Below are 26898 nucleotides of genomic sequence, written 5' to 3' on the forward strand. Positions count from 1 at the left end.
TAATCATGTATCCTTTTTAATATTTCAGACATATAAAACAGGACATGTCTTCATGTAGAACTTTAATAAGAACTTAATGTCAACTATGTTAAAATGTATCCTACATATAATTTAAAATAAGAAATCTAGAACTCTATATGTAATCATTTTAAGATGCGTGCTTCTCAAATTCTAGCCCTTTTGAAATTTGGATTTATCTTACAAACGGTGGCATCTGAGCATTGTGTCATAGTTTGACAGTTATTATTTTTCTTAGTGATACACAAAGTAATAGTGCATCATAAAATCAATGATAACTTAGAGATGATAAAATAAGAGTTTATAATATAAAAATATACCCCAGGTCACCTAATGTAGGATGAATGTACAATTTTAACTGTTTTTAAAATTCCACATATAGTATTAAAATACCGATCACCTGCTTTTATCACTCTGCTGACCACTTTGTAGATACCATTTTACTTAATCTTCCAAAAATTTCTATGAAACAAATCTTGTTGTTGCTTTATAGATAAGAAAACTGAGGTCAGAGAGCTTAAATTACTTGCCCAAGATTATAAAGGAGACAGGGTATGTTAAACTCATGGGTTTTTTTTTCTATTTAAAATAAAATATTTCAACACATCAACCATAATGAGATGGTTAATTTCATAATTATTTTATTTACCTTCTTAAAATTTGGATTTTTTTGGAAATGATTTAGATGATATAGGTCTCTTTAAAAAGGTTTTTAAGGTGAGTGTGAAATCCTACTTTCTTTTTCTATATCTCAAGGAATTTCTTCTAGTAGGCAGGAATAATCAAAATCACACCACTGACTTCTGAACTCATGAACTTCAGTTACAATAGAGCTGAAAGGTCCTTACAAATCATCTAGTCCACCACCATTAAAAAGCTGATGCTCAACGTGTTTCCATCAAGGTGAACAATGGTTACAGTCATGGCTGGAGCCCTGCCTGGGCACTGGCTATGGGTACTGCTCTATTTCACATGCACGTTGATTGGCACTGGAGTGGGTTATCTCAACTGTCTTTCAAGAAAGAGGTCTTTGGTCAGTACTTGTCACTGATAAAACAATGTTGTTGCTCCTTCTCATTCAAAATTACTTTTACAACAACAGTATGTATGGATACTGCATTTATTTCTTTTGTTTTCTACTTCCTCCTTAGTTCCTTCAAACCAACAAAGCTGCACAGCATTCATCCTATAAAACAACACCAAGAAAGAAATTAAAAAATTCCTTTTACTCTCCTTGTCCATCTCTCATGGCCACAGCCATGGTTCTTCCGACCACTGTATTCAATCTGGCTTCCTGTCCCAGAGTTTTGTGGGTTCCCACAAAACTGCTGGATTCCCAGTATATAAGATGCTAGACTAGGACTTTCATGAAAAGCTTATCCTGGGAAATCTCCCTTCCACCCCTCATTTTGCCATAAATTTTCATTCAAAAATCTATTTAAAACCGTTTATAACAGTTCTTTTCTACACAAAGAGTGCCTCCCACAACCTACCTTTTCATACAGTAGCCCTAATTCTTGTTATACAAAACCCAGAGATGCAAGGCACAGAGACTACCGCAGTATCTCAAATGGCACTTGACAGTGTTTTGACATGCTCTGAGTACTTCACCCTTCATTGAGAAGTCAGGACAATTATAAGGTCATTAGCACCAACATTGCAAAAGAAATGGAAAGGCAAGCCCACCCGTGCCCCAAGCACCCTGGACAAATATATGCCATTGCCTTTGTAGACATAGACAGAAGCGGCTTGAGGAGTCAGGGAGACAAGATACATCACAGAGAATGGAATGGCAAGGACCATCACTCGGTCAGGCAAAGGGAGAGGACAGCTGAAGAGCAGGAGCGGAACCCGGGAGCTCCTGGCACTCATTGCGCTGACCCACGTTTCAGTGGGCTTTTGTTCTTGTTTTTTCCTAGTTTCCTTTAGGCTTGTCTGGTTTTGTTGAGCATCAGAACTGTGATCCCTTACTAATTTGCTTTGCTGAAGTAAAGCTACTTGTATGATTGGAGCCAAAGCAGGAAGCCAGATGCTAGCACACTGATTGCACCTGTCTCCAGCTGGCCCTGCACATTTATCTGTAAAGAAGACCTAGAAATGCCAGACACACACATAAGGAGAAACTTTGATCATATGCTTAAATCTGCACAAATCACTACAAAACATTTATCCTTCTTTGTAATAAGCCTCCGCAAGATTTGCTGAAGGACGAAATAATACAGATATTGACCTGTATTAGTCCACTCTCATGCTGCTAATAAAGACGTACCCAAGACTGGATAATTTATAAAGGAAAGAGGTTTAATTGACTCATGGTTCAGCATGGCTGAGGAGGCCTCGGGAAACTTACAATCACAGCAGAAGGGGAAGCAAACACATCCTTCTTCACATGACGGCAGGAAGGAGAAGTGCTAAGCAAAATGGGGGAAAGCCCCTTATAAAGCCATCAGATCTCGTGAGAACTCACTCGCTATCATGAGAACAACATGAGAGTAGCTGCCCCCATGATTCAGCTACCTCCCACTGGGTCCCTCCCATGGCACATGGGGGTTATGGAAACTACAATTCAAGACGAGATTTGGGTGGGAACACAGCGAAACCATATCAGACCCCTTTACCTCTACCTCAAATATATATATTTAATATATTTTAAAATGCATTTCTACCTATAATATATACATCCCCATAGTCTTTTAAATAATTGTGATGTGAGGGAACTTTTCTAGACACTAAAAAACAATGCTTCAGTTCAACCATCTAAGAAAACCCCAGAACAACAAAAGTAACTTTTCACCCTAGTCTCCAGAGACTTCAGTTTACCTCCTAAACAAAAACCAGCAACATAATTCATCTAATCCTCTTCATGTCAGAAGACAAGGTAGAACACCACTGTAAAGTAATTGCGTGAATATGAACATAGAGAAGTTCCGCTTATGCATTTTTTAGCACCGTTCTTAGAGCAGCCTGAGGTTTTCCCTAGTATGAGCAAGATCAGTCCCGGGGCTGCAGGGGAGCCTCTCTCTGGGCTTTAGGTTGGTCATTTTATTCATAATGAACTGAGGTCCATATTGTCAGCTTTCTAACCCGTCACTTTGGGTATAAGAAATGTAGTTCCTTCTCCCAAAGAAGCAGAAAAAAGAAAAAATTCCTCTGAGTCTTCTAATGTCTTGGCCTTTTTCATTACAAGGAATCGATAGAAGAAAGGAGGCTCTAGAAGTTTCTAAACATTTTGGCGAACAGCAGGACAGTTGTGGGCTGGGTTGTTTTCAGAATCTTTTTTTTTGAATTATTATGTATGGTAAACTAATGATTACATTTATATTTTTTTCCAGGAGTAAAAATACATAAATTAACAGGAGAAATATTCTCTTAAACTATTCTATGGTACTTTTAAACAAGATATAATGTCCCAAAAGGAGCAATGCTTGGAGACTGGTATTCAGGTTTGGTAATTCCCTTTGTTTGATTTTAAGACCCAGGAACACAAGCTAAGACAATGGCGTTTTTCAATTGATTTTGAAATGTACAAGTGTCATAAAAGGAACAAATGGAAATGCATAATAAGCAACACACTGTAGGAATCTGAAAGAGAAAAGAAAATAATCAGTTTCATTACTAGTTAGTTTAAAGCTGTAATTGTTCCAGGGAACAATGGAATCCTAGAACTGCCCTTTTGAAAGGTAACTACATTGTCTTGCTTAAAGGATTCTGAATATTTTGTAGCCCTCAATGTTGATTTCCAAGACAGTACTCAAATTCTGCCTCCCAATATCTTATATAATGCTAATATTATTATAGCTAATAATACCTAATGTTGAGTTATGTTGAGTAAGTGTTCATATAAAAATCAGAGAACTTTCACTAGTATTCTAGAATAATGGAGAAAAAAATTTTTAGAAGCTTCAGGGCGTGACTCATGAGAGAATAATATTTCCCTTGACATCATTATACTGTAACACAGTATATTTACCTTGCAATAAGATGTTTTAATTCATTCAACTTACTTCAATTAAACCTATTGTATGCACTTTACTATTTTAGGTACTGCACATTATGCAAAAGAATTATGAAATGTGATACCTGCTCTTAAGTAACTGACCGTCCTCTCAGTAGAAAAAAATCATATATAGGAAGAATTTAATATTAACATAGTAAATCTTAGATTGTCTGTAATGTACTATAAAAAAATGTGTAAATGGGAGTCAGAAGCTAAAGTTTGTTAGTCCCAGCTCCACTACAACTCTGTAAGTAACATACATTCTCTTGGACTCAGTTTAATTATTGGTAAAATGAAGCAGGTGGATTTGAATGACAGCTAAATGTCCTTTCGGTGATGGCATTTTAAAAATGCCAAAAACCAAAGTATCTAAAAATTTGCATGAAGAGGAAAGAAAGATGAATTCAAAAAAAGAGGACATCAACTTGGGCTGGGATGCTGGGGAGGACTTCATGGAAGAAGGGAGTCAATCTGACTTCTTGGAACAGTGGGGTTAATGTTGCTGCATCCTTTTTCACTGACCCACTGACCATGTGCGCTTGTAGCAGGCAAAGTGGCTGCTGCAATATCTAGATGTTTGAAGGTGTTTCTAAAAGCTTAAGTAGAAAGTAATTAAAGGTGAAAGGTTTTCATGTTTTTAAAAAAGGTGTCCATCTTAGTACTTTGCTTTATTTCCATGACATCATCAAAAGGTGTGTGTAAAAACAGACAATGTTAGGTAAAGATAGGCTGATAGACAACATGTAGAAAAATGTCAGGGCAGAAACACATTTATACTACTAAAAATATTGTTATTGTAAAGTTTATTCGTGTGTGTGCTCAGTTCTTGAAGCCTCTTCTTATCATTTTTATGTAATGTTTTGTTTTGGTTTTTGCTTTGGTTTTTTGTCATGAGTTCCCCAGTATATATTATTCCCACTATATAAGTATAATGCCTTGGAAAATTTCTACGACGTTCTAACCATCAAAACATTGTACGATAAACTACCATCCAAAACAGATGAAGGGTTATACACACTAGTGGACAGGTAGAGCTAACAATCTATTTCTTTGCTCCAAAAGAACAGCCTAAATACTAAGAAACTTTGATAAAGTAGCCAAATCCACCAATCAGTGTGACTGTTGCCAAGACATTTCATGATTTCTTGGGGAAGTCCCTCAAGTCATGACGGGAGCACTTGGTAACTTTATGTTGTTCTTACCGTCCTCTTTGAGGCTCAATGACCTCATATCTGGGAGAGAAGTTTTAAAAAGGCTGCCATTAACAAGAGTCCAGCATCTCCCAGGAGCTTGTTATTATCCTAGAAATATACTTTCCTACTTTCTTTACTCTTTTTACCTTCATAGTACTAAAGTGACAAATATAGTCAAGACACCTGAGGAAAGGCATTGCCTAAAAGAGTGTTAGTTTAAACACACATGCTTGGAAAATCCAAACATACAGGAATAAATATAAGACCCTAGACATATGTATATTTTAAAATATTAATAACCATTTCTACCTTATCAAGAACATTTTATCAAAAATCCAAGGACTATCAATAGATTGGATACTTCAGTTGGTATCTCCAGTTCTTTGAGCAACATTGCATTATGCTCTGCAAAGACAGGGGTGTTTTAAGTATGAAGATATTCTTTAATATAATCCCCTCTCTTTCCTCCTGAGGATTTTCATATTTTCTTATTACTATTTTAAATGTTATTTTCTGTCAATTATTAGTAACTGAAAAAGTACGAGAGCCATTGATTAATTTGAGCATTTTCCCCATTGTAGAAAATAGTTAAATGGATAAAAAATTTCTTGTTCTCTGTTTTAATATCTATGGAGAATATCTCAATGTTTTGGATGTTTTATGTCCCACAGCAATCATTGTTTTAAACTGTTGTTCTCAAAACCACTATTTCTTTTTGTAAAAATTATACTTTACAATTTTATTGCGTATTCAGATTTACATACTACATTCATCTATTAATACTCTGTCTGCATCCATTGATCCTAACATTCTGTGCTTTAGAATATCGTATATTAACTTTTAGGTATTCACATATATCTGTGTAAAATTATTCTATGATGTGATGTAATACTGTAATGTTCAAAAACTTCAACTTTATCACCTCTATTTTTCTAAGGAAATAAGCCATTCTTAATAACACTATGTTCCCCTAAGAAGTCTAGATATTAAGTACATATATATAGATGGATGAATTTAAAACATCTAAATATTAAAGAAATAACTCTGATTTCTAATTTAGAGGAGAGAGAACATTTTTTAAAGGAGAAGTTACAATAATAAGTAAGATAAAAATTACCTTTTTATTTTTTATAAAAGAGAATCTAGTGTTGACTTCCTTTTTCTTCCCTACTTTAGGATAGAAAATTTTCTAGAAAACTTTAAAAACTAATTTTCTAATATACCATAAGAACACTATGCATGGTATGAAAGTGACAGCAAATTGATATCTTGCAGTACTTCCTTTTGACAGTAAGACATGTATAGGATAAGTCAATAGACAGCAAGTATCTTGTTTATAAGCAAATTCTATTTGTTTTGTAAAATGAAAAATATAATTATTGATACCAATTTTTTTTTCTTATCACTAAAACTTTAGCAATGCATATCTTGAGGATAAGTAGTTCTTTTTTTTTTTTTTTCTTTTTTTCAGACAGAGTTTCATTCTTGTTGCCAAGGCTGGAGTGCAATGGCGTGACGTTGGCTCACTGCAACCTCTGCATCCCAGGTTCAAGTGATTCTCCTGCCTCAGCCTCCCGAGTAGCTGGGATTACAGGTGCCTGCCACCATGCCCTGCTAATTTTTGTATTTTTAGTAGAGACGGAGTTTCCCCACGTTGGCCAGGCTGGTCTTGAGCTGCTGACCTCAGGTGATCCACTAGCCTCAGCCTCCTAAAGTGCTGGGATTACAGGCATGAGCCACTGCGCCCAGCCCAAGTAGTTCTTTTTTCTCTGTTATAGAAATAAGTCAAATGCTGTATGTTTAAGACAATAATTTGCATAAAGAAAACATTAGTCAGAGAGGGTTGAGACAAATGCCTAATGTGTTTTCTTGGTTGAAAATAACAATACAGTGAGAAATACACTGAACCATGTGTAGTTTGTATATTTCAACATCTTGCAAAATCAGCTACTCTTTCCATGCACAAATGTTCTACAGCTGATTTTACAAAATAGGCAGCGATGTTTGTCCAAGTACCTGATTCAGCAGCTGCCCACATTTTTTATTATGAAAAATGAGGATTAATTGATGAGGTTGAACTTCCTTCTAAAGAATCATACTTTGAAAATTTAACATCTTTTTTTTGGTTGGCAACTGAGTGTTGCTGAACTTAAATGTTGGTATTTTCAAGTTAAAGAGTAGATGGAGAAGGTAACGTACATCAATTTAAACAAACAAACAAAAAAAACCCCAGGAATCATATGGCTAACTTTTTACTACTTTTTACACCTGCTGTTTACTGTTCTGTTTTCAGTTACGAATTGCAAAATAATTTTAGCAAACTACAAATGTTTGATTTGAAAGTTATTTGACCTTATTTTTCTTCATTGAGGAAAACTGGATACTTTCTATGACAATGATTTGGAAAACAGATAAAATTATTCTATAAACAAAATATTGATGTATTTTAAATCCAATGGATATGTTCTGGGGACTGAAAAGATGACAGAGATTAATTAGATATGAATCTCATTTTCAAGGAAATATTGGACATCAGGAGAAAAGGACATATATTCAAATCACTATTGTTTCTGCAAATAAATTGCATTGTCAGTTTAGGCAACTCATTTCAATTCTGTGATCCGTGATTTCTCTACGTATGAGTCCTTAGAGTTTGCAAATTCTATGATTCTGTGATATTTTTTGAATCTCATAAATGCAAATATATATATATATATATATATATATATATATATATATATATATATATGTAAGAAATATTTTTAAAACTAAAAAAAGTTCCACTAAGTTTTTCTGGGTCCATGTAACTTTTTAAACTTTGCGATAGAACGGTTTTCAAATATACACAAAGATACAGGGGATAGGATGATGAATAGCATATATCTGATAAGCTAGATGTACTACCTATTGTTTCTTTTCCTGAAACATTTTTGTGTAAACGACAGACATCATGACACTTCGCTCCTAAATACTTCATTATGCAATGGTGTATTAGTCTATAAAGAACTGCCTGAGACTGGGTAATTTATAAATGGAAGATGTTTAATTGACTCATAGTTCTGCATGGTTGTGGGGGCCTGAGGAAACTTGCAATCATGGCAGAAGGCAAGGGGGAAGCAGGCACCTTCTTCACAAGGTGGCTGGAGACAGAGAGAGGGCAGGGGAAGCTGCCACTTTTAAACCATCAGATCTCATGAGGACCTCCTCACTGTCATGAGAACAGCATGGGGGAAACCATCCCCACAATCCAATCACCTCCCACCAAGTCCCTCTCTTGACATGTGGGGACTACAATTCCAGATGAAATTTGGGTGGGGACACAGAGCCAAACCATATCATTCTGCTATTTGTTAGTCTATAAAGAACTGCCTGAGACTGGGTAATTTATAAATGGAAGACGTTTAATTGACTCATAGTTCTGCATGGCTCGGGGGGCCTGAGGAAACTTACAATCATGGCAGAAGGCAAGGGGGAAACAGGCATCTTCTTCACAAGGTGGCCGGACAGAGAGAGAGAGAGAGAGGGCAGGGGAAGCTGCCACTTTTAAACCATCAGATCGCATGAAGACCTCTTCACTGTCATGAGAACAGCACGGGGGAAACCATCCCCATGATCCAGTCACCTCCCACCAGCTCCCTCCCTTGACATGTGGGGATTACAATTCAAGATGAAATTTGGGTGGGGATACAGGGCCAAACCGTATCATTCTGCCACTGGCCCCTCCCAAGTTTCATGTCTTTTTCACATTTCAAAACCAACTGTGCCTTTTCAACAGTCCCCCAAAGTCTTAACTCATTCCAGCATTAACTCAAAAGTCTAAGTACAAAGTCTCATCTGAGACAAGGCAAGTTCTTTCTGCCTATGAGCTGGTAAAATAAAAAACAAGTTACTTACTTCCAAGAAACAATGGGGGTTACAAGCATTGGGTAAATGTTCACATTCCACATGGGAGAAATTGACCAAAACAAAGGGGCCCCATGAAAGTTCACAACCCAGTAGGGCGATCATTAGAGCTTAAAATTCCAAAATGATTTCCTTTGTCTCCATGTCTCACATCCAAGGCATGCTGATGCAAAGGATGGGCTCCCAAGGCATTAGGCAGCTCCACTCCTGTGGCTCTGCAGGGCACAGCCCCTGGGGTCACTTTCACAGGCTGGCATTGAGTGCCTGTGGCTTTTCTACATGCACAATGCAAGCTGTCAGTGGATCTACCATTCCGGGGTCTGGAGGACAGTGACCCTCTTCTCACAACTCCATTAGGTGGTGCCCCAGTAAGGAATCTGTGTAGGGGCTCCAACCCCACATTTTCCTTCCACACTGCCCTAGCGGAGGGATATCCAGGCATTTCCATACATGCTCTGAAATCTAGGTGGAGGCTTCCAAGCCTCAATTCCTGACCTCTGGGCACCCACAGGCCCAATACCACATAAAAGCCACCAAGGCTTGGGGCTTGTACCCTTTGAAGGAACAGCAGAGCTGCATTTTGGACCCTTTTAGCCACAGCTGAAACTGGAGCGCCTGGGAAACAGGGCACCAAGTCGCAAGGCTACACACAGCAGCTGGTCCCTGGACCAGCCCATGAAGCCATTTTTCTTCTCCTAGGCCTCCAGGTCTGTGATGGTAGGAGCTGCTGTAAAGATCTCTTACATGTGCTGTGGACATTTTCCTCATTGTCTTGGCTGTTAACATTTGTCTCCTCATTACTTATGAAAATTTCTGCAGCTGGCTTGAATTTCTCCCCAGAAAAATGGGTTTTTGTTTTCTACCACATGAGCAGGCTTCAAATTTTCCAAACTTTTATTCTCTGCTTCCCTTTTAAACATACGTTCCAAATTCAAACCACCTCTTTGTGAATACATATGACTGAACACTTTCAGAAACAGCCAGGTCACATCTTGAATGATTTGCTGCTTAGAAATTTCTTCCACCAGATACCTTAAATCATCTCTCTCAAGTTCAAAATTCTACAGATCTCTAGGGTAGGGGCAAAATTTTGCTACGCTCTTTGCTAGATCATAACATGAGTGACCTTTACTCTAGTTCCCAAAAATTTCCTCATCTCCATCTGGGACCATCTCAGTCTGGACTTCACTGTCCATATCACCATAAGCATTTTGGTCACAACCATTCAAAAGTCTCTAGGAAGTTCTAAACTGCCCTACATCATTCTCTCTTTTTCTGAGCGCTCTAAATTGTTCCAACCTCTGCCCGTTACCCAGTTCCAAAGTCACTTCCACATTTTCAGGTTATCTCAGTACCAATTTCCTGTATTGGTCCATTTTCACACTGCTATAAAGAACTGCCTAAGACTGGTTAATTTATAAAGGAAAGAGGTTTAATTGACTCACAGTTCTGCATGGCTGGGGAGGCCTCAGGAAAGCTACAATTATGGTGGAAGGCAAAGGGGAAGCAGGTGCCTTCTTCACAAGGTGGCCGGAGAGAGAGAGAGAGAGAGAGAGAGAGAGGGAGAGAGGGAGGGAGAAGAGATAGAGAGAGAGACAGCAGGGGAAACTGCCACTTTAAATCATCAGTTCTCATGAGAACTTCCTCACTATCATGAGAACAGCATGGGGAACCATCACCACGATCCAATCCCTCCCACCAGGTCCCTCCCTCGACAAGTGAGGATTACAATTCAAGATGAGACTTGGGTGGGGACACATAGTCAAATCATATAAAATGGCATCACGAATCCATCATCACACCTCACCAAGTTAATAAAGATTTCTTAATACCAGCTGTGAGTGAGTCCATGTTAATAACTACTTAATTGTCCCCAAATATCTCTTACAGAAGGATCCAGTCACTGTCTAGGCATTGCATTTTGGTGTTACATCTTTTTCAGTCTAGACTGGTTTTTCAGCCTCTCTCATGTTGTTTTTTGAATGTCATGGATTATTTTTTCATGATATTCACATGTTCAAGACATAGATATCTTGTACAATAGAATGTCTCATATTATGGATTCAGCCTATAGTTTATTTTTAAAAGTTTTACCTCTTTCTCTAGACTTTTCTATTCATACTGTTCACAGAAGCAACTTTTTGGAATGTTTGCTGGAAAATAGTATTTAATCATGTAGATGTTGATAGTTTTTGCAAATGAATACTGGGTTCAGGGTTACTATAGTTTAAATTCAGGATATATTTGAATACCCCAAACAGCACGAATTAAAATACTTAAAAAGTTATACTATGGTTTCAGTTATATGTGATTGAAAATTGAGCTTCCTTCTATTTAAAATAGCACTCTATGATTTGATTGATATCTTCAGTGTGTAGAGTCACAGAAATAGGAAGCCAAATTATATGGAGTCACCATTCCTGTTTAATTTCTACCTCCTCCTGTTACAATCATAGCAGACTCTGTCGGTGCCTTGCCCTATCCCTCTGATCTTTCAGTACATCACGCACAGTTTTGCACCATTTACCAGAATTTCTCCCACATGATTAAGCTGTTGTCATCCACTGTGGTAGCTGATTTAATGAGTTCCCCTTATTGGCAAGCTTTATTTCCCTGTGTGATTTCCGCAATGCCTTACCAGTGTTCTCACTATTTCCCATATAAACTATTTGGACTCAAATCCTTGTGTCAAATTTTGCTTCTAGAAAAACCCATCTAAGACAACCATCTCTATACCAGACATGGTGACTGTTGGCACAAATCTGAAAGACTAAGATCTGTTTCATCTTCATATTTGCTCATATGCAAGTCAATCTGCAAAGAACACAGTCCCGCGCCCCCTATTCTCTCTCTGAGAAGATATTCATCTTCATTTTTAACATTTAGTTTTTTATATATTATGTATGTATATAAAGAATAATTCCACAAAGCTTGTTAAAAAAAATTGTTCACCTTCACGTCTCCAATCTCCTGCTTTTTAGAAGCAACTATTTTTGATGTTTGCAGTAGATTCTTTTGGGACTTGTTGCAATAACTTTTTTTTTTTTTTTTTTTTTGAGATGGAGTTTCGCTCTGTTGCCCAGACTGGAGTGCAGTGGCATGATCTTGGCTCACTGCAACCTCTGCCTCCTGGGTTCAAGCGATTCTCCTGCCTCAAGCCTCCCAAGTAGCTAGTATTACAGGCGTCCGTCACCACACCTGGCTAATTTTTGTATTTTTAATAGAGACGGGGTTTTACCATGTTGGTCAGGCTGGTCTTGAACTCCTGACCTCATGATCCACCCGCTTCGGCCTCCCAAAGTGCTGGGATTACAGGCGTGAGCCGCCACCATGCCCGGCCAATAACTTTTAATCATATGATTATACTGCTGTTTCTTGATTATTTGATTTTGGGCATTGTCTCTTCAGTTTTCAAAATGGAAGAAGATGATTTAGTGTCTTTCACTGGCATTAATATCACACAGACGCACAAACATTCCTGTTCCACAATTCTTCTAATATAATTATATCATAATTTGGTTAAATACATATATTGTTCACGTTAGTTAAACTATATAAACACTAAGAGTAGAGATGTATTATTAGTATTTTTCTTTTTTCTAGAAAGTTTGGTTTTCTTTTGAAATGGAAAGTTATTCCACATTTTTAAAAATTTCGTTTTATTCAATCAAAAATTTATCTGAACAAAAAACTGCTAAAAGCATGAAAGTACCTGCTGCAGGCTGCAAGAAAATGTTAGCAAAACACATATCTGATAAAGGTTATTGGACTGGCATCCAAAGTACACACACAAAAGAACCTTTTAAAACTTAACAATAAGAAAACAACAACCCAATTAACAAATGGGTAAAATACCTGAACAGACACCTCACCAAAGAAGATATACGCTGATGGCAAATACCCATTTGAAGACAAGCTTAACATAATAGGTCATGAGGGAATTGGGAGTTAAAACAGCAAGAAGATGCCACTACATACGTAGTAGAATGACTAAAATTCAAACATTCACACCACCAAATGCTGGCAAGGATGTGGAGCGGCAGGAAGTCTCATTTGTTATTGGTGGGAATGCAAAATAGTATGGTTTGCAGTTTCTTACAAAACTAAACATACTCTAACCATATAAAAATTTGGTTAATTTTCTATTTACATATCATTAATTCAACCTCAAACTCTCCCCCACTGGGTAAATTTCTCTCATTGTGCTCTAATAATAAGATGTTCTGTCACTTTCATCTTGAAGAAATCTATCTCACCACATTCTCAGACCTGATTGACAGTTTGAGTGTGTATAGAATCTGGGTTAGAAATAATATTTTTCCCCAAAACTTTCAAGATTTTGCTCCAATCTTTTTTTTTAATTCTCTTTGAAAGTTTATAGGACCTTCTTTGTTTTTTCCTGGTTTTCTGAAATTTTGACATTTCATAATGATGAATCAAATGGTCATGAATCTATTACTATGCATTGTGTTGAGCATGCGTAAGGTACTTCAGTCTGTAAAATCACATTCTTTAGTTTGATAGAAATTGTTTGAATTTATCCTTTGAAAACTCCCCCATCTCAATTTTCTTAAGTCTTCCTTTATGAAATTCTTATTCTTTGGATGGTGTGCCTCCTAAATAAGTCCTCTAAATGGTTTTATTTTTTTTTTATTATACTTTAAGTTTTAGGGTACATGTGCACATTGTGCAGGTTAGTTACATATGTATACATGTGCCATGCTGGTGCGCTGCACCCACTAACTCGTCATCTAGCCTTAGGTATATCTCCCAATGCTATCCCTCCCCCCTCCCCCCACCCCACCACAGTCCCCAGAGTGTGATATTCCCCTTCATGTGTCCATGTGATCTCATTGTTCAATTCCCACCTATGAGTGAGAATATACGGTGTTTGGTTTTTTGTTCTTGTGATAGTTTACTGAGAATGATGATTTCCAATTTCATCCATGTCCCTACAAAGGACATGAACTCATCATTTTTTATGGCTGCATAGTATTCCATGGTGTATATGTGCCACATTTTCTTAATCCAGTCTATCATTGTTGGACATTTGGGTTGGTTCCAAGTCTTCGCTATTGTGAATAATGCTGCAATAAACATACGTGTGCATGTGTCTTTATAGCAGCATGATTTATAGTCATTTGGGTATATACCCAGTAATGGGATGGCTGGGTCAAATGGTATTTCTAGTTCTAGATCCCTGAGGAATCGCCACACTGACTTCCACAATGGTTGAACTAGTTTACAGTCCCAGCAACAGTGTAAAAGTGTTCCTATTTCTCCACATCCTCTCCAGCACCTGTTGTTTCCTGACTTTTTAATGATTGCCATTCTAACTGGTGTGAGATGATATCTCATAGTGGTTTTGATTTGCATTTCTCTGATGGCCAGTGATGATGAGCATTTTTTCATGTGTTTTTTGGCTGCATAAATGTCTTCTTTTGAGAAGTGTCTGTTCATGTCCTTCGCCCACTTTTTGATGGGGTTGTTTGTTTTTTTCTTGTAAATTTGTTTGAGTTCATTGTAGATTCTGGATATTAGCCCTTTGTCAGATGAGTAGGTTGCAAAAATTTTCTCCCATTCTGTAGGTTGCCTGTTCACTCTGCTGGTAGTTTCTTTTGCTGTGCAGAAGCTCTTTAGTTTAATGAGATCCGATTTGTCAATTTTGGCTTTTGTTGCCATTGCTTTTGGTGTTTTAGACATGAAGTCCTTGCCCATGCCTATGTCCTGAATGGTAATGCCTAGGTTTTCTTCTAGGGTTTTTATGGTTTTAGGTCTAACGTTTAAGTCTTTAATCCATCTTGAATTGATTTTTGTATAAGGTGTAAGGAAGGGATCCAGTTTCAGCTTTCTACATATGGCTAGCCAGTTTTCCCAGCACCATTTATTAAATAGGGAATCCTTTCCCCATTGCTTGTTTTCCTCAGGTTTGACAAAGATCAGATAGTTGTAGGTATGCGGTGTTATTTCTGAGGGCTCTGTTCTGTTCCATTGATCTATATCTCTGTTTTGGTACCAGTACCATGCTGTTTTGGTTACTGTAGCCTTGTAGTATAGTTTGAAGTCAGGTAGTGTGATGCCTCCAGCTTTGTTCTTTTGGCTTAGGATTCACTTGGCAGTGCGGCCTCTTTTTTGGTTCCATATGAACTTTAAAGTAGTCTTTTCCAATTCTGTGAAGAAAGTCATTGGTAGCTTGATGGGGATGGCATTGAATCTGTAAATTACCTTGGGCAGTATGGCCATTTTCACGATATTGATTCTTCCTACCCATGAGCATGGAATGTTCTTTCATTTGTTTGTATCCTCTTTTATTTCCTTGAGCAGTGGTTTGTAGTTCTCCTTGAAGAGGTCCTTCACATCCCTTGTAAGTTGGATTCCTGGGTATTTTATTCTCTTTGAAGCAATTGTGAATGGGAATTCACTCATTATTTGGCTCTCTGTTTGTCTGTTGTTGGTGTATAAGAATGCTTGTGATTTTTGTACATTGATTTTGTATCCTGAGACTTTGCTGAAGTTGCTTATCAGCTTAAGGAGATTTTGGGCTGAGACGATGGGGTTTTCTAGATAAACAATCATGTCATCTGCAAACAGGGACAATTTGACTTCCTCTTTTCCTAATTGAATACCCTTTATTTCCTTCTCCTGCCTGATTGCCCTGGCCAGAACTTCCAACACTATGTTGAATAGGAGCGGTGAGAGAAGGCATCCCTGTCTTGTGCCAGTTTTCAAAGGGAATGCTTCCAGTTTTTGCCCATTCAGTATGATATTGGCTGTGGGTTTGTCATAGATAGCTCTTATTATTTTGAAATACGTCCCATCAACACCTAATTTATTGAGAGTTTTTAGCATGAAGGTTGTTGAATTTTGTCAAAGGCTTTTTCTGCATCTATTGAGATAATCATATGGTTTTTGTGTTTAGCTCTGTTTATATGCTGGATTACGTTTATTGATTTGCATATATTGAACCAGCCTTGCAACCCAGGGATGAAGCCCACTTGATCATGGTGGATAAGCTTTTTGATGTGCTGCTGGATTCGGTTTGCCAGTATTTTATTGAGGATTTTTGCATCAATGTTCATCAAGGATATTGGTCTAAAATTCTCTTTTTTGATTGTATCTCTGCCCGGCTTTGGTATCAGAATGATGCTGGCCTCATAAAATGAGTTAGGGAGCATTCCCTCTTTTTCTGTTGATTGGAATAGTTTCAGAAGGGATGGTACCAGTTCCTCCTTGTACCTCTGGTAGAATTCGGCTGTGAATCCATCTGGTCCTGGACTCTTTTTGGTTGGTAAACTATTGATTATTGCCACAATTTCAGCTCCTATTATTGGTCTATTCAGAGATTCAACTTCTTCCTGGTTTAGTCTTGGGAGAGTGTATGTGTCGAGGAATGTATCCATTTCTTCTAGATTTTCTAGTTTATTTGCGTAGAGGTGTTTGTAGTATTCTCTGATGGTAGTTTGTATTTCTGTGGGATCAGTGGTGATATCCCCTTTATCATTTTTTATTGTGTCTATTTGATTCTTCTCTCTTTTTTTCTTTATTAGTCTTGCTAGTGGTCTATCAATTTTGTTGATCCTTTCAAAAAACCAGCTCCTGGATTCATTGATTTTTTGAAGGGTTTTTTGTGTCTCTATTTCCTTCAGTTCTGCTCTGATTTTAGTTATTTCCTGCCTTCTGCTAGCTTTTGAATGTGTTTGCTCTTGCTTTTCTAGTTCTTTTAATTGTGATGTTAGGGTGTCAATTTTGGATCTTTCCTGCTTTCTCTTGTGGGCATTTAGTGCTACAAATTTCCCTCTACACACTGCTTTGAATGCGTCCCAGAGATTCTGGTATGTTGTGTGTTTGTTCTCGTTGGTTTCAAAGAACATCTTTATTTCTGCCTTCATTTCGTTATGTACCCAGTAGTCATTCAGGAGCAGGTTGTTCAGTTTCCATGTAGTTGAGCAGCTTTGAGTGAGATTCTTAATCCTGAGTTCTAGTTTGATTGCACTGTGGTCTGAGAGATAGTTTGTGATAATTTCTGTTCTTTTACATTTGCTGAGGAGAGCTTTACTTCCAACTATATGGTCAATTTTGGAATAGGTGTGGTGTGGTGCTGAAAAAAATGTATATTCTGTTGATTTGGGGTGGAGAGTTCTGTAGATGTCTATTAGGTCCGCTTGGTGCAGAGCTGAGTTCAATTCCTGGGTATCCTTGTTGACTTTCTGTCTCGTTGATCTGTCTAATGTTGACAGTGGGGTGTTAAAGTCTCCCATTATTAATGTGTGGGAGTCTAAGTCTCTTTGTAGGTCACTCAGGACTTGCTTTATGAATCTGGGTGCTCCTGTATTGGGTGCATATATATTTAGGATAGTTAGCTCCTCTTGTTGAATTGATCCCTTTACCATTATGTAATGGCCTTCTTTGTCTCTTTTGATCTTTGTTGGTTTAAAGTCTGTTTTATCAGAGACTAGGATTGCAACCCCTGCCTTTTTTTGTTTTCCATTTGCTTGGTAGATCTTCCTCCATCCTTTTATTTTGAGCCTATGTGTGTCTCTGCATGTGAGATGGGTTTCCTGAATACAGCACACTGATGGGTCTTGACTCTATCCAACTTGCCAGTCTGTGTCTTTTAATTGGAGAATTTTGTCCATTTACATTTAAAGTTAATATTGTTATGTGTGAATTTGATCCTGTCATTATGATGTTAGCTGGTGATTTTGCTCGTTAGTTGATGCAGTTTCTTCCTAGTCTGGATGGTCTTTACATTTTGGCATGATTTTGCAGCAGCTGGTACTAGTTGTTCCTTTCCATGTGTAGTGCTTCCTTCAGGAGCTCTTTTAGGGCAGGCCTGGTGGTGACAAAATCTCTCAGCATTTGCTTGTCTGTAAAGTATTTGATTTCTCCTTCACTTACGAAGCTTAGTTTGGCTGGATATGAAATTCTGGGTTGAAAATTCTTTTCTTTAAGAATGTTGAATATTGGCCCCCACTCTCTTCTGGCTTGTAGGGTTTCTGCCCAGAGATCCGCTGTTAGTCTGATGGGCTTCCCTTTGAGGGTAACCCGGCCTTTCTCTCTGGCTGCCCTTAACATTTTTTCCTTCATTTCAACTTTGGTGAATCTGACAATTATGTGTCTTGGAGTTGCTCTTCTCGAGGAGTATCTTTGTGGCGTTCTCTGTATTTCCTGAACCTGAACGTTGGCCTGCCTTGCTAGATTGGGGAAGTTCTCCTGGATAATATCCTGTAGAGTGTTTTCCAACTTGGTTCCATTCTCCGCATCACTTTCAGGTACACCAATCAGACGTAGATTTGGTCTTTTCACATAGTCCCATATTTCTTGGAGGCTTTGCTCATTTCTTTTTATTCTTTTTTCTCTAAACTTCCCTTCTCGCTTCATTTCATTCATTTCATCTTCCATTGCTGATACCCTTTCTTCCAGTTGATCGCATCGGCTCCTGAGGCTTCTGCATTCTTCACGTAGTTCTCGAGCCTTGGTTTTCAGCTCCATCAGCTCCTTTAAGCACTTCTCTGTATTGGTTATTCTAGTTATACATTCTTCTAAATTTTTTTCAAAGTTTTCAACTTCTTTGCCTTTGGTTTGAATGTCCTCCCATAGCTCAGAGTAATTTGATCATCTGAAGCCTTCTTCTCTCAGCTCGTCAAAATCATTCTCCATCCAGCTTTGTTCCGTTGCTGGTGAGGAACTGCGTTCCTTTGGAGGAGGAGAGGCGCTCTGCGTTTTAGAGTTTCCAGTTTTTCTGTTCCGTTTTTTCCCCATCTGTGTGGTTTTATCTACTTTTGGTCTTTGATGATGGTGATGTACAGATGGGTTTTCGGTGTGGATGTCCTTTCTGTTTGTTAGTTTTCCTTCTAACAGACAGGACCCTCAGCTGCAGGTCTGTTGGAATACCCTGCCGTGTGAGGTGTCAGTGTGCCCCTGCTGGGGGGTGCCTCCCAGTTAGGCTGCTCGGGGGTCAGGGGTCAGGGACCCACTTGAGGAGGCAGTCTGCCCATTCTCAGATCTCCAGCTGTGTGCTGGGAGAACCACTGCTCTCTTCAAAGCTGTCAGACAGGGACATTTAAGTCTGCAGAGGTTACTGCTGTCTTTTTGTTTGTCTGTGCCCTGCCCCCAGAGGTGGAGCCTACAGAGGCAGGCAGGCCTCCTTGAGCTATGGTGGGCTCCACCCAGTTCGAGCTTCCTGGCTGCTTTGTTTACCTAAGCAAGCCTGGGCAATGGTGGGCGCCCCTCCCCCAGCCTCGCTGCCGCCTTGCAGTTTGATCTCAGACTGCTGTGCTAGCAATCAGCGAGACTCCGTGGGCGTAGGACCCTCCCAGCCAGGTGCGGGATATAGTCTCGTGGTGCGCCGTTTTTTAAGCCGGTCTGAAAAGCGCAATATTCGGGTGGGAGTGACCCGATTTTCCAGGTGCGTCCGTCACCCCTTTCTTTGACTCGGAAAGGGAACTCCCTGACCCCTTGCGCTTCCCAGGTGAGGCAATGCCTCGCCCTGCTTCGGCTCGCGCACGGTGCGCGCACCCACTGGCCTGCGCCCACTGTCTGGCACTCCCTAGTGAGATGAACCCGGTACCTCAGATGGAAATGCAGAAATCACCCGTCTTCTGCATCGCTCACGCTGGGAGCTGTAGACCGGAGCTGTTCCTATTCGGCCATCTTGGCTCCTCCCTCAAATGTTTTTTTTTTAATCATTTATATTTTGTCTCCATTTTCCCATCTCTTGTCTTTTCAACTTTCTTATAACATTTTGTTTGCCAAGACTCCTCCTACCTTGTACATTCAATTTCAAAGCAATTTTAAAATGTCTGTGTTTTTCTTTTTTATAATATTCTATTCTTTTGTCACAAGTGCATATATTTTCTTGTTCCTCTGAAGCTACTGTTGTTAATTGATGGGTCTTGTTTTCTTTTTTTCTTGCATGACTTCTAGTATGCTGGCTTTCTTGTTTTCGTCTTTGCCTTTCATTTTACATATTCTCCTCAAAGACTAGAAACCTTTGCCATCAACTTATACCTACAAATGTAGAAAGGAAGAACTGTATGCAAGCTCTCTGTGCTTCGGTAGGTGTGTTTGCTGTGGTTCCCACACTGGGTTGGCCTGACTGAGCAGTTCCTTGGGAGAACCCCCAGAGTCAGTGTATTTTCTCTAGGGCTGGCCAGATTCACCAGAGAAGGTTCTTTCAGTGTCCTGCCTGGAAATTTAAAGTCTTGCTGCCAGCATACTGAGTTAAGTGAGTTTAAAAAATTGGAATTTCACTCAACATTCATCGTGTAGACATGTATTTCCAATATGTGATCTCCTTTCTCAATCACCCTAGCGTTTTGTCATCTCCGGAGATGAAACCTCCATTCCTGGGGTGCTAGAGAAAAATGAAAGGAAGTAACGTGGTTGTAGGCCAGGATCTGCAGGCCTAACTGCTACTTAAGCAGATTTCAGCCAATGCTCTGTGTACCAACTCCAGGGCTACTTGGTGCGGCCAATACATGTGCCCTCTGGTGACTCCATGGTATAAATCAGGCCACTTCCAAGCTTTCTCCACTGCTGATGGAAGATCCAGCCTTCCCAGGTCTGCTAAGTCAGTTACCAATTATCTCAATCTATGTGAGTTTATGAACAAAACAGTCAATTTTTCTTACTTCAGTTGTAAATGCCTGTAGCTAATTCTCCATCCCAAACCGGAATGGCTTCTACATAACTGTAAGAAAGTTTAACCTGCCAAATTCTCTGGTAGGTCGTTCCTGCCATCACCCGCTTCCACTTCATCCTCTTCTGTATGGTGGAGAATCCTGGGCATCCCTGAATCTAACTTAATGCTTTCCAAACCACATGTCAACTATTGCTTTGTGTATGTGTCTTTATCCCCAGTGAATACATACACCTGGAGATGAAGATCAGAGATTGTCTTTTTGCTTAGCCAATGTTCAGCTCATGGCAAGCCTCTATTATGTTTATTGAACACATTGATGAATGAATGAAGTTTTAAGAAATTGAGCAAGGGGCTAAAATGAGAAGGGGGATTCAGCTATATTTTAACTCTTAGAACTCACTAATAAAATTTGTCTTACTGGCTTAGTTATGGATGGTTTCACCAGTAGGTAGATGAAAACAGTGGGAATGGAGGGATAAAGAATTCAGTAGCTTGTTATCTGCTTGTGCTAATGAAAGTAAATACAAAGCCAGAGCACTTTCTGGATTGTTTTGTGAGGCCATAAGTTGCTGCATCTATGTCATCTTGCTAAATTTTATTTTTTACTTTTTCTGATCCCCCCATCCTGGCAGAAAAATGCCTGAAAGAAGAGTTGCCAAATTGCGATGTCTATTTCATAGTTGACTATTCCTCGTCAATAATAACATTTTATTTGTTTTAACTAAAGTTCCAAGAAAAATGTGCAGAACCTGTAACATGTTATTGCTTGAAGGTTAAAGAATATGTTCACTTCATAACCTTGAAATAATGTGCTCTGTTTTCGTATTCACCCTATCAGAGCAGAATCTGTCTCCTGAACATCTATGAAAGGAAACTCCCCTAGGAAAAATATTTCATAAATATCTGACCACACTAAACTTGATCTTTGATGTTTCAACTTCACAGGGAGCTGCTTTTGGTGATGGAGGTGTCAGAAAATTTGTAGTCAAGGTTTTCAGATTGTTCATTTGAGTTATACCAGTTCACCACTTTTAGTCTTCATGTAACAGAAGCACTCCACTTTTGGTACTAATTCTGGGAGGTATCCTTACCTGCTAAGCAGAGATAAAGGAAAAAAAATAATCTAGGCTTTTCTTCATGAGAGCAGCACCTTTTTTAGTTGATTCTGCTCAGGAAGAATAAAGTCAGGACACAGTTAGACAAAATGCCTCTGCCCAGGCTGTAAATTTTCCAGGGAAAAATTTTGCCTGGCATGACTCCAGGTTGTGGCTTAGAACATTCTGTGTGCACTCTGAATGCTCCCAGAAAGGGACTCTTGATTTGGGAACTCTGGGAACAAAGTAATTATTATGGAATAAGCAATTACACTTAAGATAAATTATATAAAGATTTACTAAACAATAAAAGTAGTGTTGCAACTAATGTGGATTCTTCAACAAGACCGTGATTGTGTCTCTCCCAGGAGTAGCTCAACTCTTGGTCTTACACTTGAATCCTTTGTCTTCCCCTTTGATTATTTTGTCTATTTCTTGATCCCTGAAAGCCACTGATGTCTGATCGGATTTCAAGGGTAAATAGTAATAATAATAATAATAAGTGCTCTGGAGGTGTTTGCTTCTCCCACCTCTGTTCTCTGGTCAGGGGTCACCGGGACTTGCTTTTTCTTCTCTAAACTCTGCCTGGTCAAACACCCCAGACACTGTCTTGTGTCCTTCCTATCAGCTCTCTTCCCACACTGTGTTTTTATTCTGTTGTTCCTACGGTCTTTTTATTTCATCTTTAATAGACTTAAAAAAACATTCTTAATTACAATTCAAATTTTCTGTAGGATGAAAGATAATACCAATTTACTTTGAAAGAGTATTTGTTCCATACAAGACTCTGTGGAAAGCACTTTACAAACGTGATCTTAAAATATTTCCAAAATAATCCTGGGTGCAAAGGTTGTTTCTTATTTTATAAATGGGAAAAAAAAAATGAGATTCAGCAGTTAAGTCTATTCCTCAAGGTTATACAGCTAGAAAGCTCAGGAGCTGGAATTTGACCCTAACTCCACTAAACTTCCAAGTCCTTGATGTTAGATATTTAAGGAAAAAAAAAAGTGAAGGTTACCTATAATTCCATAATCTGAAAAAAACTATTTTCTAGGATATTTCTGTTTTGCTGTTTTGTTTACTATAGTGTGCATAAATGCGTGCTTATTTATGTCAGTTTATACATGCTCACACATTTATTTAAATAAAGGTCTTTCATTATATATATTTAATAGAATAATTCTATGTCCACTTTTTCATTTGTAACAATTGTGAAACATTTGCATGTTATTATTTCTGAAAATAAAATGTGTCCATTTAAAATTTGTGAAAATAAAATGTGTCCATTTAAAATACCATCTTTAAGGCTACATAATATCTACTATTCAGAAATACCATATTTTAAACACTTTTTGACTGATATTTATGATTTTTCTAATGTTTCATTATGAAAGATGGTGGCGGTGTGGACATTTGCTTTAATCTTCTAAGGACATACCTTAGCCTACCCTCCAGGAGTCCTCCTTGGCTATGTTCCAGCCAAAATGGCCAGTTTTCCCTCGTATTAATTTCCCTGTCCATCTTATCTCACTGGTGAGACTGGCCCAATATATTCAGCCTGTTCTAAAGCTGATCGATCTTTATAAATGCATACGGAGAAAAAGACTAGCTCCACGCACAGTGACATTAGAAAGACTGCTCCCCCAGTAGACAAACACGCTTCTCTCTGTCTGCCCTCTGCTATTTTTTCACCCTCATTTCAGTTAGGCAATTGCAGCCGGGGAGGCCTGGGCTTTTCTTATGTTTGAGCACATCATTAATCGGGCTCTCACTCACTCACTCATGTGTGAAGTGGACTCTCGTGGACAATGATCAACTGCTCAGCCCCTGAAATTTCTTGTTTGCCGCTGGTCCCTAGAATCCACTTCAGAGCAGATTCTACCTGTATATTCTTTTACAAAAATGTGGATGATAAGATTAAATCAGAAATTATTCTGAAGCTTGAAAAGATTCAAGTCCTAAGATACCTGTAAATACTTTACTATTTTAAAGGTATAGTCCTAGCCCAAAGTGTAGATTTAGTTACTTCTTAAAATTATTTTGAAAAATTAAAAATGTCACCAGTGTCAGGTAAACAAGACTAATTGGAGGGAAAAAAATCCTTATAATATTTTCATAAGATTTATACTGAACTCCTTATTCTCATTTTTATGACATTTAGGTCTCTGGCAAAGCTTCAGAAATTTGAACATACTTACACTTTTGTAAACTGCCTGACTGTAATTCTTCAAACAGAATTGTGGAATGTTTCCTCTCAGAGCACCCAAGGAATATTCTGGTTTGGTACGTTACTTTTTTTTTTTTTTTGCCTGAAGTGCAGGGGTGCAATCTCGGCTCACTGCAACCTCTGCCTCCTGGGTTCAAGCGATTCTCCCAACTCAGCCTCCCAAGTAGCTGGGATTACAGCTGCCTGCCACCACGCCCAGCTAATTTTTGTATTTTTAGTAGAAACGGGGTTTCACGCTGTTGGTAGGCTGGTCTCGAACTCCTGACCTCAGGTGATCCACCTGCCTTGGCCTCCCAAAGTGCTGGGATTACAGGCATGAGCCACCGTGCCCAGCTGGTTTGGTACATTTCTAAGTTCTCTGACTATTACATTTAACTTCCTTATTCCTTATTTAGAATGTTTGTCTTGATACCGTGAGCAACAAGGAAAGATAATATTTGCATCCCAATATAAAAAAGTATTTTATTTCCTTCATGTTCAAATATATTTGAAAGGTGACAGTTTTCTTAGTAGTGGGTGTTTGCTCCTTCGGTTTATAACTTCATTAATTTATTGTTAGTATCGATCCCTGTCAACTTCATACCCGATAAAAGTGGAGCTACTACATATAGGTCTGTTGAATGAAAGAGCATTTATTAATAATGATAATCATTCATTATTCACAATACTTCCTGATCAGCATGTGCTTCTCTGTGTGCTTTGCGTACTTATATCTTTTTTATTTAAAACAGTATTTTTCAGAGATGGGGTCTTACTATGTTGTCCAGTCTAGTCTCAAACTTTTGTGCTCAAGCAACCCTCCAGCCTCGGCCTCCCACATAGCTGGGACTACATGCATAAGCAACCACACCTGGCTACGTACTTATCTTTAATCTTCCTAACAGCCCTTCTAAGTCATGAGTTGATTTTGCAAAACCAAAACAGAGCCAGGGAGGTTAAATGAATCGTCAAGTGTTGCCTGGTTTAGAAGAGACAGAACTATGATTTGAACCCTAAATGCAGACTAACAGTTTGTGTTCTTTCCCTAACTTTCTCCAGACTGATGTAAATTATTACCTGAAAGTTTAAATGCAAAAATAAGCACAATGCTCTTACCAAAAATGCACTGTAGACATCAATAAAATTAGTAAACTCGAAGTACAAGTGCCAGTTCCTGCTGGGAATCCATTCATTCATTCCACATATTATTTACTGAGCATCTATTATGGGCCAGGCACTGTGCTGGTTGCTAAAAATATAATGGGGAGAACAAGAAGGCATGGTCCCTAACCTCATGGGAATAAATGTATAGTGTATAGATAGTGCTGCGATTCCCACATAACTTCTGTAATCTCTGTCCTTGTAATCTGAGGTCACATTAATAAACAGGAGTATACCTACCAGAAACTGCTGGGGTTTCCTCATTTCCTACGGTCTATGCTCCAGCTAAGTGCTCCCAATGACGGCATTGATTCTCATTCCTGGACAAAAAATTAGAATTCACTAGAAATATTTTTAAATGTTTGTACTCAGCACCACCCCTCCTTTTCTACTCCATCCTGGTCATGACTTCGTTTTTGTAGGGTATGTCCCAGGCTTCAGTACTATTTAAATATTTCTCAGTGACTTCTATAAGCAGCAATGGTTGAGGATGCTCTTGGCATCCTTAGTAAGCTATGTTGCTTATAATTTCCCATCAGGAATCTATAAAACTCTGTGACTGCCGCAGAAATGTAGCTTAGGATACAAGCCCTGTCCACTGCAGCAGGCCTATTTCTGTGGCCCATTTTTTCTAAGTTCCTGAACCATTGTTCACACTTCCTGTCCTGACTTTTCTTCACGGATTCCGGGTCTGAGTTGCCCTTCTGACTTGATGTTTTCTCCTTCTTTTCAGAATCTGTCATTGCTGAGTATGCAGATGTGATTCTGACTTTCAAAATGAGCTTGTGGTTCTCATCTGGACTGACCACATGCTTGATGCCACCATCTTCCTGGTGCTGTCCCTAACCCCAGTCCTTACTGGTCCCACATTCTCTGATTTAGTAGCTAGGCAGTCTCTAGCTCAATGACCAAATGATCTGAGGCTATTTAAGATTTACTCTCTTAGCAAATTCAGTATACAAAGCAGTGTTATTAACTAGAGTCACTATGCTGTACATGAGATCCTCAGATCCTATCTTTTATTAGGCTGGTGCAAAAGTAATTGAGGTTTTTGCTTTGAAAGTACTGAAGCCTGGGTTTCACCCTTCAAAAGCTAAGGCATGACCTGGGTGGGGTAGGGAAGGAGGGGCAGTGCTGAATGCAAACGTTTAAAAAATATTTCTAATGGATTCTAATTTTTTATCCAGGAATGAGAGTCAGTGCAGTCATTGGGAGCACTTAGCTGGAGCATAGGCTATAGCTGAAGGTTTGTACCCTTTGAATGTTCTCACCACAAAAATAAAACAAACAATCAAAAAAAGGTAACTAGGTGAGATGTTGTTGACTAGCTGATTGTGGTAACCATTTTATGATTACACATACGTCAAATCATCACATTGTGCATTTTAAATACATACACTTTTATTTGTCAATTAAACCTCAAGGAGGCTGAAAAAAAAAAGAAATACTAAGATATTAAATTAAGCAAGCAAACAAAAAATATCAGAGGCTTACATAGACAATCAGTCTACCACCCTCTCTCTTTTCAATTTCTCACCAAGACCACACAAGGAGGGACGAGCTTTCCTCTGTCCTGCCCACACCCATGGTCTGCCTTTCTCTTTTACAACTTTTCCTTTTAAGAGAACACCTGTAATCCCAGCACTTTGGGAGGCCGACCAAGGTGGGCGGATCACGAGGTC

The 26898-nt window shown here is 38.7% G+C and overlaps 1 long non-coding RNA gene across 1 annotated transcript in view; it reads right to left on the minus strand.

Moving 5' to 3' along the window:
* LOC124900822 (uncharacterized) overlaps positions 1 to 26898 on the minus strand; it is a 38107-nt gene that overhangs the window by 5936 nt on the left and 5273 nt on the right. The window lies entirely within an intron of this gene.

The sequence above is a fragment of the Homo sapiens genome, chromosome 4 (assembly GCF_000001405.40).
Source record: "Homo sapiens chromosome 4, GRCh38.p14 Primary Assembly".
In the NCBI taxonomy this organism is placed as follows: Eukaryota; Metazoa; Chordata; class Mammalia; order Primates; family Hominidae; genus Homo; species Homo sapiens.